This window comes from Homo sapiens, chromosome 11, assembly GCF_000001405.40.
Source record: "Homo sapiens chromosome 11, GRCh38.p14 Primary Assembly".
In the NCBI taxonomy this organism is placed as follows: Eukaryota; Metazoa; Chordata; class Mammalia; order Primates; family Hominidae; genus Homo; species Homo sapiens.
In genome coordinates this window covers 131,672,267-131,684,990 of record NC_000011.10, presented here as the reverse complement: position 1 = coordinate 131,684,990, position 12,724 = coordinate 131,672,267, and the positions used below count along the sequence as shown (strand labels likewise).

General features: G+C 50.4%; 1 protein-coding gene across 22 annotated transcripts in view, besides 6 other annotated features; it reads right to left on the bottom strand.

Moving 5' to 3' along the window:
- Positions 1-12,724, bottom strand: part of NTM (neurotrimin) — a 966,208-nt gene that overhangs the window by 651,832 nt on the left and 301,652 nt on the right. The gene's annotated exons all lie outside the window — the stretch shown is intronic.
- Positions 2,078-2,578: an enhancer, noted in NCBI's record as "H3K4me1 hESC enhancer chr11:131552307-131552807 (GRCh37/hg19 assembly coordinates)". NCBI's record gives its function as "activates a minimal SCP1, AML or CMV promoter by ChIP-STARR-seq in primed H9 embryonic stem cells {active_cell/tissue: H9 hESC(primed)}" and the evidence as "EXISTENCE:reporter gene assay evidence [ECO:0000049][PMID:30033119]".
- Positions 2,579-3,079: an enhancer, noted in NCBI's record as "H3K4me1 hESC enhancer chr11:131551806-131552306 (GRCh37/hg19 assembly coordinates)". NCBI's record gives its function as "activates a minimal SCP1, AML or CMV promoter by ChIP-STARR-seq in primed H9 embryonic stem cells {active_cell/tissue: H9 hESC(primed)}" and the evidence as "EXISTENCE:reporter gene assay evidence [ECO:0000049][PMID:30033119]".
- Positions 3,899-4,398: an enhancer, noted in NCBI's record as "H3K27ac hESC enhancer chr11:131550487-131550986 (GRCh37/hg19 assembly coordinates)". NCBI's record gives its function as "activates a minimal SCP1, AML or CMV promoter by ChIP-STARR-seq in naive H9 embryonic stem cells {active_cell/tissue: H9 hESC(naive)}" and the evidence as "EXISTENCE:reporter gene assay evidence [ECO:0000049][PMID:30033119]".
- Positions 4,399-4,900: an enhancer, noted in NCBI's record as "H3K27ac hESC enhancer chr11:131549985-131550486 (GRCh37/hg19 assembly coordinates)". NCBI's record gives its function as "activates a minimal SCP1, AML or CMV promoter by ChIP-STARR-seq in naive H9 embryonic stem cells {active_cell/tissue: H9 hESC(naive)}" and the evidence as "EXISTENCE:reporter gene assay evidence [ECO:0000049][PMID:30033119]".
- Positions 6,726-7,329: an enhancer, noted in NCBI's record as "H3K27ac-H3K4me1 hESC enhancer chr11:131547556-131548159 (GRCh37/hg19 assembly coordinates)". NCBI's record gives its function as "activates a minimal SCP1, AML or CMV promoter by ChIP-STARR-seq in naive H9 embryonic stem cells {active_cell/tissue: H9 hESC(naive)}" and the evidence as "EXISTENCE:reporter gene assay evidence [ECO:0000049][PMID:30033119]".
- Positions 10,682-10,976: an enhancer, noted in NCBI's record as "tiled region #15285; HepG2 Activating DNase unmatched - State 12:CtcfO, and K562 Activating DNase unmatched - State 12:CtcfO". NCBI's record gives its function as "activates a minimal TATA promoter and a strong SV40 promoter by Sharpr-MPRA in HepG2 and K562 cells {active_cell/tissue: HepG2 | K562}" and the evidence as "EXISTENCE:reporter gene assay evidence [ECO:0000049][PMID:27701403]".

Sequence of the window (12,724 nt, the reverse complement as noted above, 5' to 3'; positions counted from 1 at the left end):
GTCTTCCTTCTGGGCTCTGGGCCAGCGTCCACAGAACAGATTCACGTTCACCCTAGTGGGGGCTCACTCACCCCTGAGGCTCACTCATGCCCTTGGTCTTCTTGCCCACCTCCAACTCAGGCTCTTCACCATGGTGGGGCTGGGAGTGTCGTTGTCCTACACAGCTGGAGACATGGAGTCCCAAGGAGTTGGCCCAGCCTGTATCTTGCACGGGTCATCTCCAGGGCCAGGGTATGCACTGCTGCCTCCAGAGGCCCTCTGCTCTCTAGGAATGCAGGAATGTTAGGGAAAGGAGGCTTCTCAAACAGAGGCAGGGAGGTGGCATGATGAGCTGGCCTGGGAAAGCCGCAGGGCCTCCAGCCTGGGACTGGGCCAAATGTCCACCTGCAGGTCCCAAAGCTGAGCAAATGAGGGGCCAGTGTCCTACATAAAGGAAGCGGCTGTGTCAGCCAGAGGACAGAGACAGTCCAAGGGCATGCTCCTCCCAGCTCCCTGGAAGCTGCAGGCTGGGGAGGGCACCAGGGGATGCTGCCAGCAGCTCAGAGGCTGTTGAGAAAAGGTTTCCAGGCAGAGTGGAGCAGGCTACCCACTAGGGAGTGTGGGGGAACTGCCTTTCTATAGTTTCCAGGTGGGGAGGGGGTGTGTGACTATAGCTTTATAATCTCAGAGACGTCACTTGCCACCCAGCCAGGAGGATCCTCCCTGGATCGCTGTGGTCAGGTTGGCAGAGCCAGAGAGAGTCACTGTCGTCAGGACGTCCTCGTGGTGAAGGCTGCTCACCCCACGTTGCTCTCCCCGGGGCCCGTGCCTCAGAGCCCCACACACAGGAGCTCATTTCACTCCCACAGCAAAATCCAGAGGGGGTTCTCCCAATTCCACAGACAGAATGAAGCAATGAAGTTAGGCGAGGTTAAGTGATCTTGAATTCTCCTCACACGGCCAGCCAGTAAGTAGTAGAGTTAGAATTAGAACCCAACTCTGCTGAACTCCAAAGCAAGTGGGGTTTGATTCAGTCCCAATAACCTCTTGCCACCGCCTGCCCTTCAGAACGCCCTTTCTAAGTGCAAGTACATCCCACCCTCCAGCAGATCAGCGCCTCACAAAGCAACACGCACCAGGGCTGGGAAGACCCCGGGGAGAAGTCAGCCTAGGACGCCATCAGCTCCAATGACAAAGGACAACCCAGAGTGCCCCCCAGGGGACCTTCCTCTAAAACTTCCAGCCACCTGCTCTTTGGCATCGCCCTGCATCACCCCAAAATATGAGCATGAATGCTGACGTGGGGATCAGGTCGCCTCACTCGTGCCAGCCCCCTCCAGAGCAATCATGATAGGATTTTTTATTCACGTTCCAGCCCTCTGCAGGGCAGGTTTAGTGTGAATACATTGACAGAGTGAACCTCGGACACATCCAGGGTCTATTTCTGCAACTACAAACCCACCCTATCATGCACAATTAGGGTCCATCAGCCCCCTTGATGTGCCTCCTCCCCTTCACCTCCACTCTCAGCTCCTAAGGCATCAACCTGGTCAGATTCCTTCTGGAGCCTATTGCATTATCCCTTCATTTCCCAAGAGGGGACTTAGGTACCAGAGCTGGAGGGCAGAGGTTGTTTCCCCTCCTCCCGTGCACCCTGCACAGTGCCCCGCTGCAGACAGCCCTGCCGAAGGGGCTCCTGTGATGTGCACATCCCCAGTCCCTTTCTCACCTCACTTCAGAGGAGCAAAAACCAGAGAAACAAAGCCAGGGGCTGCTGAAGCGCGGAGAGTGATGCTCTGCCAGGGAGGTGTTAGCATTCTTCTTTTGATTAGGAATAAAGCATGCAGACCTTCTGGTTGGGTTTTGCAGTAAGAAAGGGAAGCTTCGGTTTTAGAGGGAAAGTTCAGTTATAATGAATAATAATTGCTGTGCAGATGACTGTGGGTTGTTATTTTCGCCACAGAATTCCTAGAAAGTGGTATGGGCCTGCGTCCTTGCACGTGCTTGCGTGATAGAGAGAGAACGGTGGGGAGCTGGTGTTGGGATGTGTACGACATCTACCTGCCTTTTCCAGCTCATCCCATTTCACATCTCAGTCCCGGCTGGTAGGTAAAATGTGCAGAGGGAGTGTGGGCGCAACATGCTTCCCAGGAAACAGCGGCTGCCACCGTGATCCAGTAGGTACTGGGTCGGCCCCTCTCTTGGGCCTCCAGGAGCCAAAGGGGATCCAGCACCGAGAGGGAGCTGATTTCGGATATGGCTGTCAGAACTGAATGGATGCAGGCAACTTTCAGTGGAGGCGCTGAGAGCAAATTGCAGCAGAGATGCGCTCAGGGTGCAGTAACAAGGAAGGACCCGCTCTCCGTGTCAGTGGCCTGCAGGGGAAGTGAGAACCGGGCTCATGCTGGGCTCCTCTACTTTGCAGGGTTTAAGGCCGGCAGGCTCCCTGGTCCCCACCCAGGGTCACAGTCCTGAGCAGGCTGGCAGAGGAGAGGGCTCCGCTCTCCAGCTCTGCAGCTGCATGCGTGCCACGAGGAGGGAGGGCCCTCAGCCTCCCAGGACTCCCTGCAGCCGATGGGGTTAGGATAGCAGGAGCAGGTGAAGGCTCTTCTGAATGGGTCCTTCGGGGTCCTTGCAGAACACCCCCTGTGGCCTGCAACCACAGCTGCTGTTTTTGTACAGAGATTCTTAGATTAGTCCTCACAGCAGCCTTCCAGGCAGGTATTGCCCCATTTTCCAGGAAGGAAACCAGAGGCTCCTCAGCTATACAGCATGCCAGCAGGGCTGCCTCCATCAGTAGCTCACAGAGGAAGGCGTTCAGATCAGGAACGGGTGAGACCTTGCAGGAGTCAGCCAGGCATCCCTCGTGCCAGGGAGATGACCCAGTGATGACCCAGCCACTGCCCGTGGAGGGCGGGTGAAAGGTGTCACTAGGTGCGTCGGTTCTGCCTGCAGCCCTAGGGGCTGGGTCCTCGGTGTACTTTTTCCAGAGACAGCACTTGAGATTGGAAGGACTGGTCAGCTCAGCCTACCAATTGCTTTTCACTTAGCCGGGTTCTCTAGCCACAGGGTGAGGGTGAGAACACACACACACACACGACACACACACAGACACACGCAAGGAGACACACAGACACAGACGCACACACGCTCACACACACAGGGAGACATACACACAGACACAGAAACACACACGCTCACACACACAGGGAGACATACACACAGACACAGAAACACACACGCTCACACACACAGGGAGACATACACACAGACACAGAAACAAGCTCACATACACAGGGAGATACACACACAGACACAGAAACACACACGCTCACACACACAGGGAGACATACACACAGACACAGAAACACACACGCTCACACACACAGGGAGACATACGCACAGACACAGAAACAAGCTCACATACACAGGGAGACATACACACAGACACAGAAATACACACGCTCACATACACAGGGAGACATACACACAGACACAGAAACACATGCTCACACACACAAGGAGACATACACACAGACACAGAAACACACACGCTCACACACACAGACATACAGACACAGAAACACACACGCTCACACACACAGGGAGACATACACACAGACACAGAAACACACATGCTCACACACACAGGGAGACATACACACAGACACAGAAACACACACGCTCACACACACAGACATACAGACACAGAAACACACACGCTCACACACACAGGGAGACATACACACAGACACAGAAACACACGCTCACATACACAGGGAGACATACACACAGACACAGAAACACACACTCACATACACAGGGAGACATACAGACACAGAAACACACATGCTCACACACACAGGGAAACATACATACACAGAAACACACACGCTCACACACACAGGGAGACATACACACAGACACAGAAACACACACGCTCACACAGGGAGACATACAGACACAGAAACACACACGCTCACACACACAGGGAGACATACAGACACAGAAACACACACGCTCACACACACAGGGAGACATACAGACACAGAAACACACACGCTCACACACACAGGGAGACATACAGACACAGAAACACACATGCTCACACACACAGGGAGACACACACACAGACACAGAAACACACACGCTCACACACACAGGGAGACATACACACAGACACAGAAACAAGCTCACATACACACACACACACACACACACACAGGCACTCACATAGACATAGGCATGATCTCACACACAGACACAGAGGCACACATGCCTATGCAAACATATGCACACACACACAGGCACTCACAGACACAGACACAGGCATGATCTCACACACAGACACAGAGGCACACATGCCTACACAGACACACACACAGGCACTCACAGACACAGACACAGGCATGATCTCACACACAGACACAGAGGCACACATGCCTACACAGACACACACACAGGCACTCACAGACACAGACACAGCCATGATCTCACACAGACACAGAGGCACACATGCCTACACAGACGTGCACACACACAGGCACTCACAGACACAGACACAGATATGATCTCACACACAGACACAGAGGCACACATGCCTACACAGACGCACACACACACAGGCACTCACAGACACAGAAACACACATACACAGACAAGTACATAGACACATACATAGATGTGCTCAAATCCACAGAAAAGTTCATGTTATTAGGTATTCCCATGTTTCTCTAACAGCCCATATCTGGTATCTTTTCCGATTCATTTTGGTAAAATCCAAAATGTCAATTTCATGAGCAGGCCAGCCCTTGGTGAGGGAGGGCAAGGTGCTGTGACGGCCAACACAGAGACGTAAATACCAGAGAAGGATGGGGGGTCAGGGCTCCTGGACTGTCTTTGTCTGGGTTCACATCTTGCAGTCACCCAGAGAGCCTCATCTCCCCTTGTCCAGGAGGGATTTACTGAAGCTCGATAAAAATCTGCCGCTGAATATTGCTATAAAATATCATTCTTTCTCAAGGCGCTTCACTCAGAGAATCCTAAACTAGTAGATTCACCTTTGCATGACTTTGTTAAAAACAAAAAAGGAGTTAGTCAAACATCAGCACTAGCCTTCTCCATCGGAAAGCCCATGCCTCAAAATTCTCCTAACAAACAGTGGTTCTCAATGTCAGCCTGCATCAGGGTGACTGGGAGGGCCGTCAGAACCCAGCTCTCTGGAGCTCACCCCAGAGTTTCCAAGTCAGTATTATCTGTGGTGAGACCCAAGATTTTACATTTCAAAGAAGTTTCAAGCGATACAGATGCTGTAACATTTTTACAATATTTCTTACTACCTTACTAGGGGGCACTAGTTATCTAGAAGCCATCAGAGGGAAATGGGAGAAACTGGACACAAATGGCAGAGGAAGAAGCATAATCAGAGGCACAGCGATCAGCTCCTGGGAAAGGCACCGCTGAAAGCTGGGCAGGCAGCATGCCCGCACTTCTGTGTCCACGCCCAGAAGTGGACATTATCAATCAATCACGGCTGCCTATCTTGTGGAGCCCAGACTTGGCTTTGGAATCCTTCTCAACCCAGTACCTTCTAAAGGCCGTAAAAATGATTGGGATTGGCAGGCACGATGACAACCCTTTCCTCCATTTGATCTAGAGTTTGGGCTTGACTCCACAGGCACCCCCTCCCTACTTCTTTCCATTGCACTTTCTTCTTTTCATGCATGGAACGCCCTTCTGTGTCTTTGCACATGGAGGCTATCTGGACTCAAGCACAGGGGAGGAGATGGGTGAAGAGCTGGAGGGAGCAGGTTCTGATGTGGGAGGCAGCAGATTCCCAAATGTCAGGGGGGCTGACTTCCATCTGTGAGCAGATCATGGAGCAAACGACGGTGGCCTAGAGGGGATTCCAGCCCTGAGTGGGCACAGAGCATGAATGGAGAAGAGAGTGGACAGGGGCAGCAGCTGCTCTCTGTGAGCACTTTCTCCAGAAATGAGATATTTTTTATTTTAAAAGCAATCATGTAACATGATAGCTGCAATAACTATGATAAAATGATGTCAGAGGAAGCTGTGTGCAAGAAGACGGACGTGTTAGCCGAAGGTAGCTGCTTGTGGGGCTCCTGAACCACTCTCTCTCCATGCACCGATGTGCAGGCCCCGTCCCGGACAGCCTTGTTCTAGCCTCGCTTCTGGCCATGCCTCTGCTTCACACGGAGCGTCAGAAGTCCAGACACGAGAGGCTCAGTCATAGAAAGTGGACAGATCCAGTGACAACCTCTTCCCCAAGGTGGAAAAGAAACAGGAGCTCCAAGAGCTCTTGCCAAAGAAAGAGATGGGAGAAGAGGAAGAGAGAGAGAAGGAAGAAAAGAGCAATGCCCTTGAGGAACTGTGACATGTAGCAGCATTGGGCAGTAGAATGTCTAAAACTCCTAGCCCCAGTAGTCAGGCCTTTCCTGCATCTCACAGCTCCACACTGGGAGAGGGAGTACAGGAGGAAGGGCATCTGTTTCAAATGCTCCTCTTTCTCTGCCATGATCAAGCAGGACTCAGAAGACCTTGCCCTTGGGGCCTCAGCTGCCCTCATGGCTTCTGTGTTGAATAGAGCAGAAATACCAGAGAGCAGAAAGCTGAGTGGTCAGCGCTGGGCCAGACCTGGGCACTGCCCAGAGCCAGAGGGCTGAGCCACCTACCCCTGTGATGGTCAGGCCATCCAGCCACCAGACCCCACTGAAACCCACATGGAGACAACTCACGAGTGCCCAGGGTGTGCCCTTAGAAGGCTGTCCAGGGCCTCATCAGCACATGGTCAGGCACCTGTGTTCTCTCCTCCCTCAAACCCCGGTCCAGTCTGGGCCCCAGGCAGGAAAAGGGAGACAGGGAGTTTGTTACCAGGGGCCCCGGAAGCTGCAATGCTCATGAATTCCTTAGTTCTCCAGCCTCTTCACTTCATCAAGTCAGTAAATAAATAAAGCTGAGAAGGTGGTGGAGGGAAGGGTGACTCTGGAGCCTATTAGCATACATCTGCATATCAGTGAAGAGACAAGGTCCTGCTTCAGGAGAGCTGATCACTTGCAGATTCAAATCAACCCTGTGACTTTATAGTAGGGCTTGCTGACCAGCTGTGTGTCACAAGGCTCTGTGTTATAGGGCCACCAAGGATGGCATAGGAGGAGTGGAGGGGACAAGGATGCCAGGCCTCTGCAGGGCGCTGGTAATGTGCTGTTCAGTCCTGACATTTCCTGACTGCATGAGGTTGAGCAAATGGCGTAACCTCTCTGAAACTCTATCTCTGCATCTTAACATATTGCTCATAGGAACTTTCTGGGTTCTTATGAGAATTTGGGCTTCTCTTGGCAAAGCGCTTGACCCTCAGTAAATGCTCAATAAGCCATGGACATTGCTGGTACCAGAGGCTTTGGAAGTGGGCACAGAGGGATCACCACTTGACAACTGGAGAGGAGCTCAGGGTCATGTATGGCTGCGTATGCAGCCGTCCTGCCTGGCCAGCCTGGCTTTCATCTTTCCCCATAGTTTTCCTCACAAGTTTTTCAATCTCACTATGCAGTTCTAGCTTCAGGCACCTCGCTGATATGTTAAAAATAAATAATAAACGATTGCATTGGTCTAGCACTTTGCTAGAGTTTATTAAGGACTTCTACCTGTAATATGCCATGTCATTCCCAACACTGCCACGAAAGGTCCTCACTGCAGAGAAGAGGAAGTGGACCTCCACGGGAGGCGGGTGATCTGCGCAAACTCAAATGGCCTGAAGTGGCAGGACAGACTTCAGGCCTTGAGCATCCATTCCTGGCACTCACTGCCTCCCACATAAGTTGTGCTTGCAAGCAGGGCAGGGCTCGGGGACCTGAGGCCACCAGGGCACAGAGTTCCTCCTATCCCACCGTGCGGTTTCCATATGTATTAGATGCCAGAGGCAGATCTAGCTGCTGGTGATTTGGGCAACATCTGAAAAGTGCCCAACACTACCAATCAGTCTGTCATCATCAAAAATGTCAGTGTCAGGAAAGACAAAGGCAACAGCACTGCTCCAGATACGAAGAGTCTAAAGAGATATGGCAACAGAACGCAGCTAAGTGGACAGGTCCGTCGTGAGGCGACTGTAATAACGGACATTATTCAGACTACTCCAGAGGCTGAAGTGGATCTGGGCTAAGTCTCTGGAATTCATACCTTGTGTTGTGGCTGTGGAAGAAGACGCCTTGTTCTTAGAAGGTGCATAGTAAATATGGAGGGAAGCTGTTCAATACACTACTTTTATTACATTTTTGAAGGTTTAAAATTTTCAACGAAGAAAAAGTGCACCAGGCAGACTTCTTGAGCAAATCTGTCTCTCCAATGGCTAATTGTGGTGCCTGAAGGCCCATGTTAAAACATTTAATTATAGACTTCCTGAAAATATGGAATTGTGAAGGTCGTCTGATAAAACCTTCTGTCTCTTATGTGCTCCCTCCACTATGTGCATATGCAGGTTCACAGTCACGCATGCATGCGCACACACAGGCATACCCCCGCACACGCATGTACACAGGCACAGACACACACACACACACAGATACACACACCCTCAGTGCTAGAAAAACTCCAACGCAGCCCTTCACTTCTTTGGGTAGCTTAGACCCTTAAAATTTCCTTTATATTGAACAGATTGCTCCCAAATAACTTCTGTCCATCAGTCTTGGTTTTGTTTTATGTAATTATACAGAAAACATCTCATTCCTTTTCTACCAAACAGCACTTAAATATCTGAAAACAGTTATGTGCTCCCAAAGCCTCCCTTTTCAGTTTCTCTTCCCTATGTTCACCTGTTTTGAGACAAAATGGACCTTTGTGTCTTCCAACAGCCTCTTGCTAAAAATCAAATTATCCAGAAGAGAAAAGCAAGGGTTCAGGTTCAAGTCTCTCATTTCAAAATCTGGCTAAATGTCAGTCCAGTCCCATGGTGACATGGACCTACCCAGCTAAGTTTCCAAGGGTGAAACCATTGGTCCAAGGGGTTTGCTTGCCAGTCCTCTTCAACACCAAAGGTGAAAGCCATAAAAGACTCTCCCAGATTATGGATCTGGACCCCAGTCCTTGCCCCTGGAAGCAAAGTCAAGCAGACGTCTGGGCTTTTCTCTCTTCTAGAAACAGGGCCATTTTCTTTTAGGGGATTTAAATGGAAAACATCCTCTGCCTGAAGTCTTGAGTCACCTTCATCTGAGACGACACACAAAACCACAGACAAAATGCTGGCAGAGGGTCTTCTAAGTCAAGGCCCTCTGTGGAATTTTGTACTCAGACAGTCTGTGGGTGGAGGGTCACATGATGAGAAATGTACAAGCTTTGGAGTCCAAGCTGGGTGTGAATTTGGTCTCCTCTAGGATATAGCAGCTGCGAGAACTCGAGTAAGCCGCTCAGCCTCCCTCGGCCTCAGAGTCTCCTTTGGTTAAAATGAGATAATCCTACCTCCCTTATTGGGCTGTCATGAGAAATGAAAGAACAAAAATGCAAATTCTCTTGCTCATAGTAGGCACTCAACAAGCAATGATTAATTAATGCGGCCACCATTCCAAAAAGTTATAACAATGCATTTGGCAAAGGTTCAGTCTGTATTACTGGTTATGTAAGATACTAATGAATTATTATAATAACATTTGTGAAATCATATCCTAGCCAGTAATAAGAATTTAAAAATGTGTTGGGAAAACCACCCGTGATATATTGGGTTTGAGCCAAGAAAGCCAGTCGACAACAGATGAGCTACTCTGCTGTTTAATATACTTAATAAAACAGTGTAGCTGCCCGAAATTGCTGTCTTGCTAAACAGAAATATCCCAAGGGTTTAAACAGAAAAGATAAATGCTCTCTTCGTCTTATACAAGAACCAAAGTAAAGATGGAACTGGGGATCTGGAAGCTCAGGCAGGATCAGGAAGATGGGTGCTAGGCGAAGGTTGAGGTCTGCTCACCCGGGCTAAGCATTTGAAAAGAAAAGAGTCTTCAAATATGGTGGGATGAATGCAGGAAATGGGACTTTGGAATCCATCTGGCACACTGGGAGCTTTCTTTTCTAGCAGCAAGTGAGTAGCTGTATGAAGATCCAGATGAAAGGGAGAATATAAGACCAAATTCTGTAAACTATGAGCCCCACATCTTGGTCCCTAATCCATGCATGTCTTGGAGCTGCAATGAGTTTAGGTGCCTGATAACCTATATCCCGCGGGGAAGGTTTTTCTGTCTTTCAGAGAATTTCAGAGAAGCAGCATTACAGGTAACCAGACAGGGAAATCAGGCTTGCAAATAACAATGGCAATATTCTTGTAACTGCAAATGGGAACAATAAGGCTGGTTCTGTTACACTGAGCCAACACCAGATTCATGGGAACCAGAAAAAGACTACAATCATAGCAATGAATGACTTCAAATGAAATGAAGCAATCCCACACAAAGAGTTCGCTTGCCCGACTGATACCAGCGAGTGGCCAGCTCTCTGGTGTTTCAGCATCCTCAAGGCCAGAGCATCCCAGCTGCAGGGAAGCAGAAGCACCATCCAGGTCATGCTGATCACTTTACAGGCGACAAGCCAAGACACACTAAGGACGTCCAGCCGCTAAGCCACAAACACCAAACTGAGCTTTAGGATTGAGCTTTCTTCCTACTATACCAGCCTCTCCTTTTCAAGAATGACAGCCCTAGGAGTGACAAGAATGTCTTGGGTAGAGAAGGAAGACTTTTTATGAACTGCATTCCTTTTCAGTGAGCTCTTTCCAGTTTCAGTGTAGGCGGTGGCCAAGCACTTGTGCAGCACGTCTGCTTCTCTGGGAAAGAGAACGTGTGCGTGTGGCACTACTTCTCATGGCCACGCGAGGGCGCCCGCACCCCGTGCTAGGACCCTTCCTCCTGCCTACCTGCTCACCCTACGCTGTGTGTGTATGTTTTTTCCATGAGGTCAGAAGTATCAAGGTTGTAAAATAACATATTTTCACTTGTTTTCTTCCTACATCCAAGACATAGCATTTCTGAAGTCAATTATCTCCCCGAGTTGCCATCATCTCCCTACCCTCTTTCTCTTTGTGCCGCCTTTCAACCCATCAGAGTCTGACACCAACAGACGGGGGAGTGGAGGTGTGGGCAAAAATGAATTTATTTTTTCTCACTGGTGATGTCAAATCCTTGTTCTGGCACTTTGTTTTAAAAGGACTTCTGCAAACGTGAGATCTCTGTTCTCCAGCCTCAGGAAGGAGAGCCGAGAGAGTGGAGGGCTGCCATGCTGTCTACAGAGGGTCTCAGGTGTCACCTGGGCCCCCCAAGGTACAGGTCCCTTTAGTACCATTTGTCCAGCAGTGCTCCCAGTGAGGGATGGAAGAGCATTTTTGCAGAGTTCCCAAAAGCAGACAAAATTAGAGCAGCAAGCATCACCCGCTAACTGTATCACGTCACTGTCTGGCACCATATTTAAATGCAAGCTTTGTCCAGAGGTGGGCAGGTGACCCAGATGATGAAGAGATAAGAAGAAAGACACACACACTGAAACACATACACACAGACAATGAGGACACAATTTGCAGTTCTTACAAAGTACAGGCCTGGGGGCTGGCAGAAAGGGCCCTGTGATCCTTTTGGGGCCACCATAATGCCCTGCTCAGAGAAGGCCACCAGCCTCCTTTGTCCTCTAAGGTAGGCATCCTACAAAGTTAGTGGAAATGGACTGGTCAACCTCAAGTCTCTCCACTCAGGAGCCCACAGGCAGCCCTGAGCATCCTCCTGGTCACCAGCTGTACCCCAGTGGGCACACAGCAAGGGTTCTGGGGTCACCTTCTTGATCCATTGTTGTACTCACAATTTACCACCAGAAACCTCAGGAGTTTTCTGACCCTCCTGCCCTCCCTAGCCCTCTCCATCCCCATCTATTTTTAGGCTAAAGCCTAAAATAGACAAGGAACGAGGTCACTCCCCACCCCCACCCCGGCACCGTGGTCTTCTCTGTTTTAAGGGAAATAGACAAGGAACACGGTCACTCCCCACCCCCACCCCGGCACCGTGGTCTTCTCTGTTGTAAGGGAAATAGGCAAGGAACACGGTCACACCCCACCCCCACCCCGGCACCGTGGTCTTCTCTGTTGTAAGGGAAATAGGCAAGGAACACGGTCACACCCCACCCCCACCCCGGCACCGTGGTCTTCTCTGTTTTAAGGGAGAACTTATCGCAAAGCCTTTCTTTTGAAGGCCAGAAAGAAGAGGCCAAGGCTGGTCCATGGGTATTTGAATTCCATAAGCCTCCACAGAGGCCCTACTATGTACCAGGAGTACTAAATACCTAAGTAGAATTGTGTCCCTTTCCTATTGGCACCAGAGTCTAGTGGGAAAATATATATATGAATAAACATTCTGTCATACAATTAATGCCAGCCTACAGCACCATGAACAAGACAAGGTGGGTTTGAGCCTGGTCTGATGGGTGAATAGGAAGAGGCCAGGCCGAAGAGAATGGCCTGGAATCCCAGGGAGACTGAAAGGGTGAGGCACTCCAGCTGTCGGGGTGTCTGATGCGGTTTCCTCGGAGCTGCAGAGCCACACAGCGCTCATCCAAACACGCCCACGCGTGCTTCGTGAAGCAGGCCCAGTGTCCTCGGTGGGGGTGCGGTGCCTTCAAAGGAGGCTCATTTGCTCAAGTCGCCGCCTCTGCCTTCACCTGGCCCCAGAAGCCTGGCTCGCTGGCATCCCTGCCTGAACCCTCAATGCAT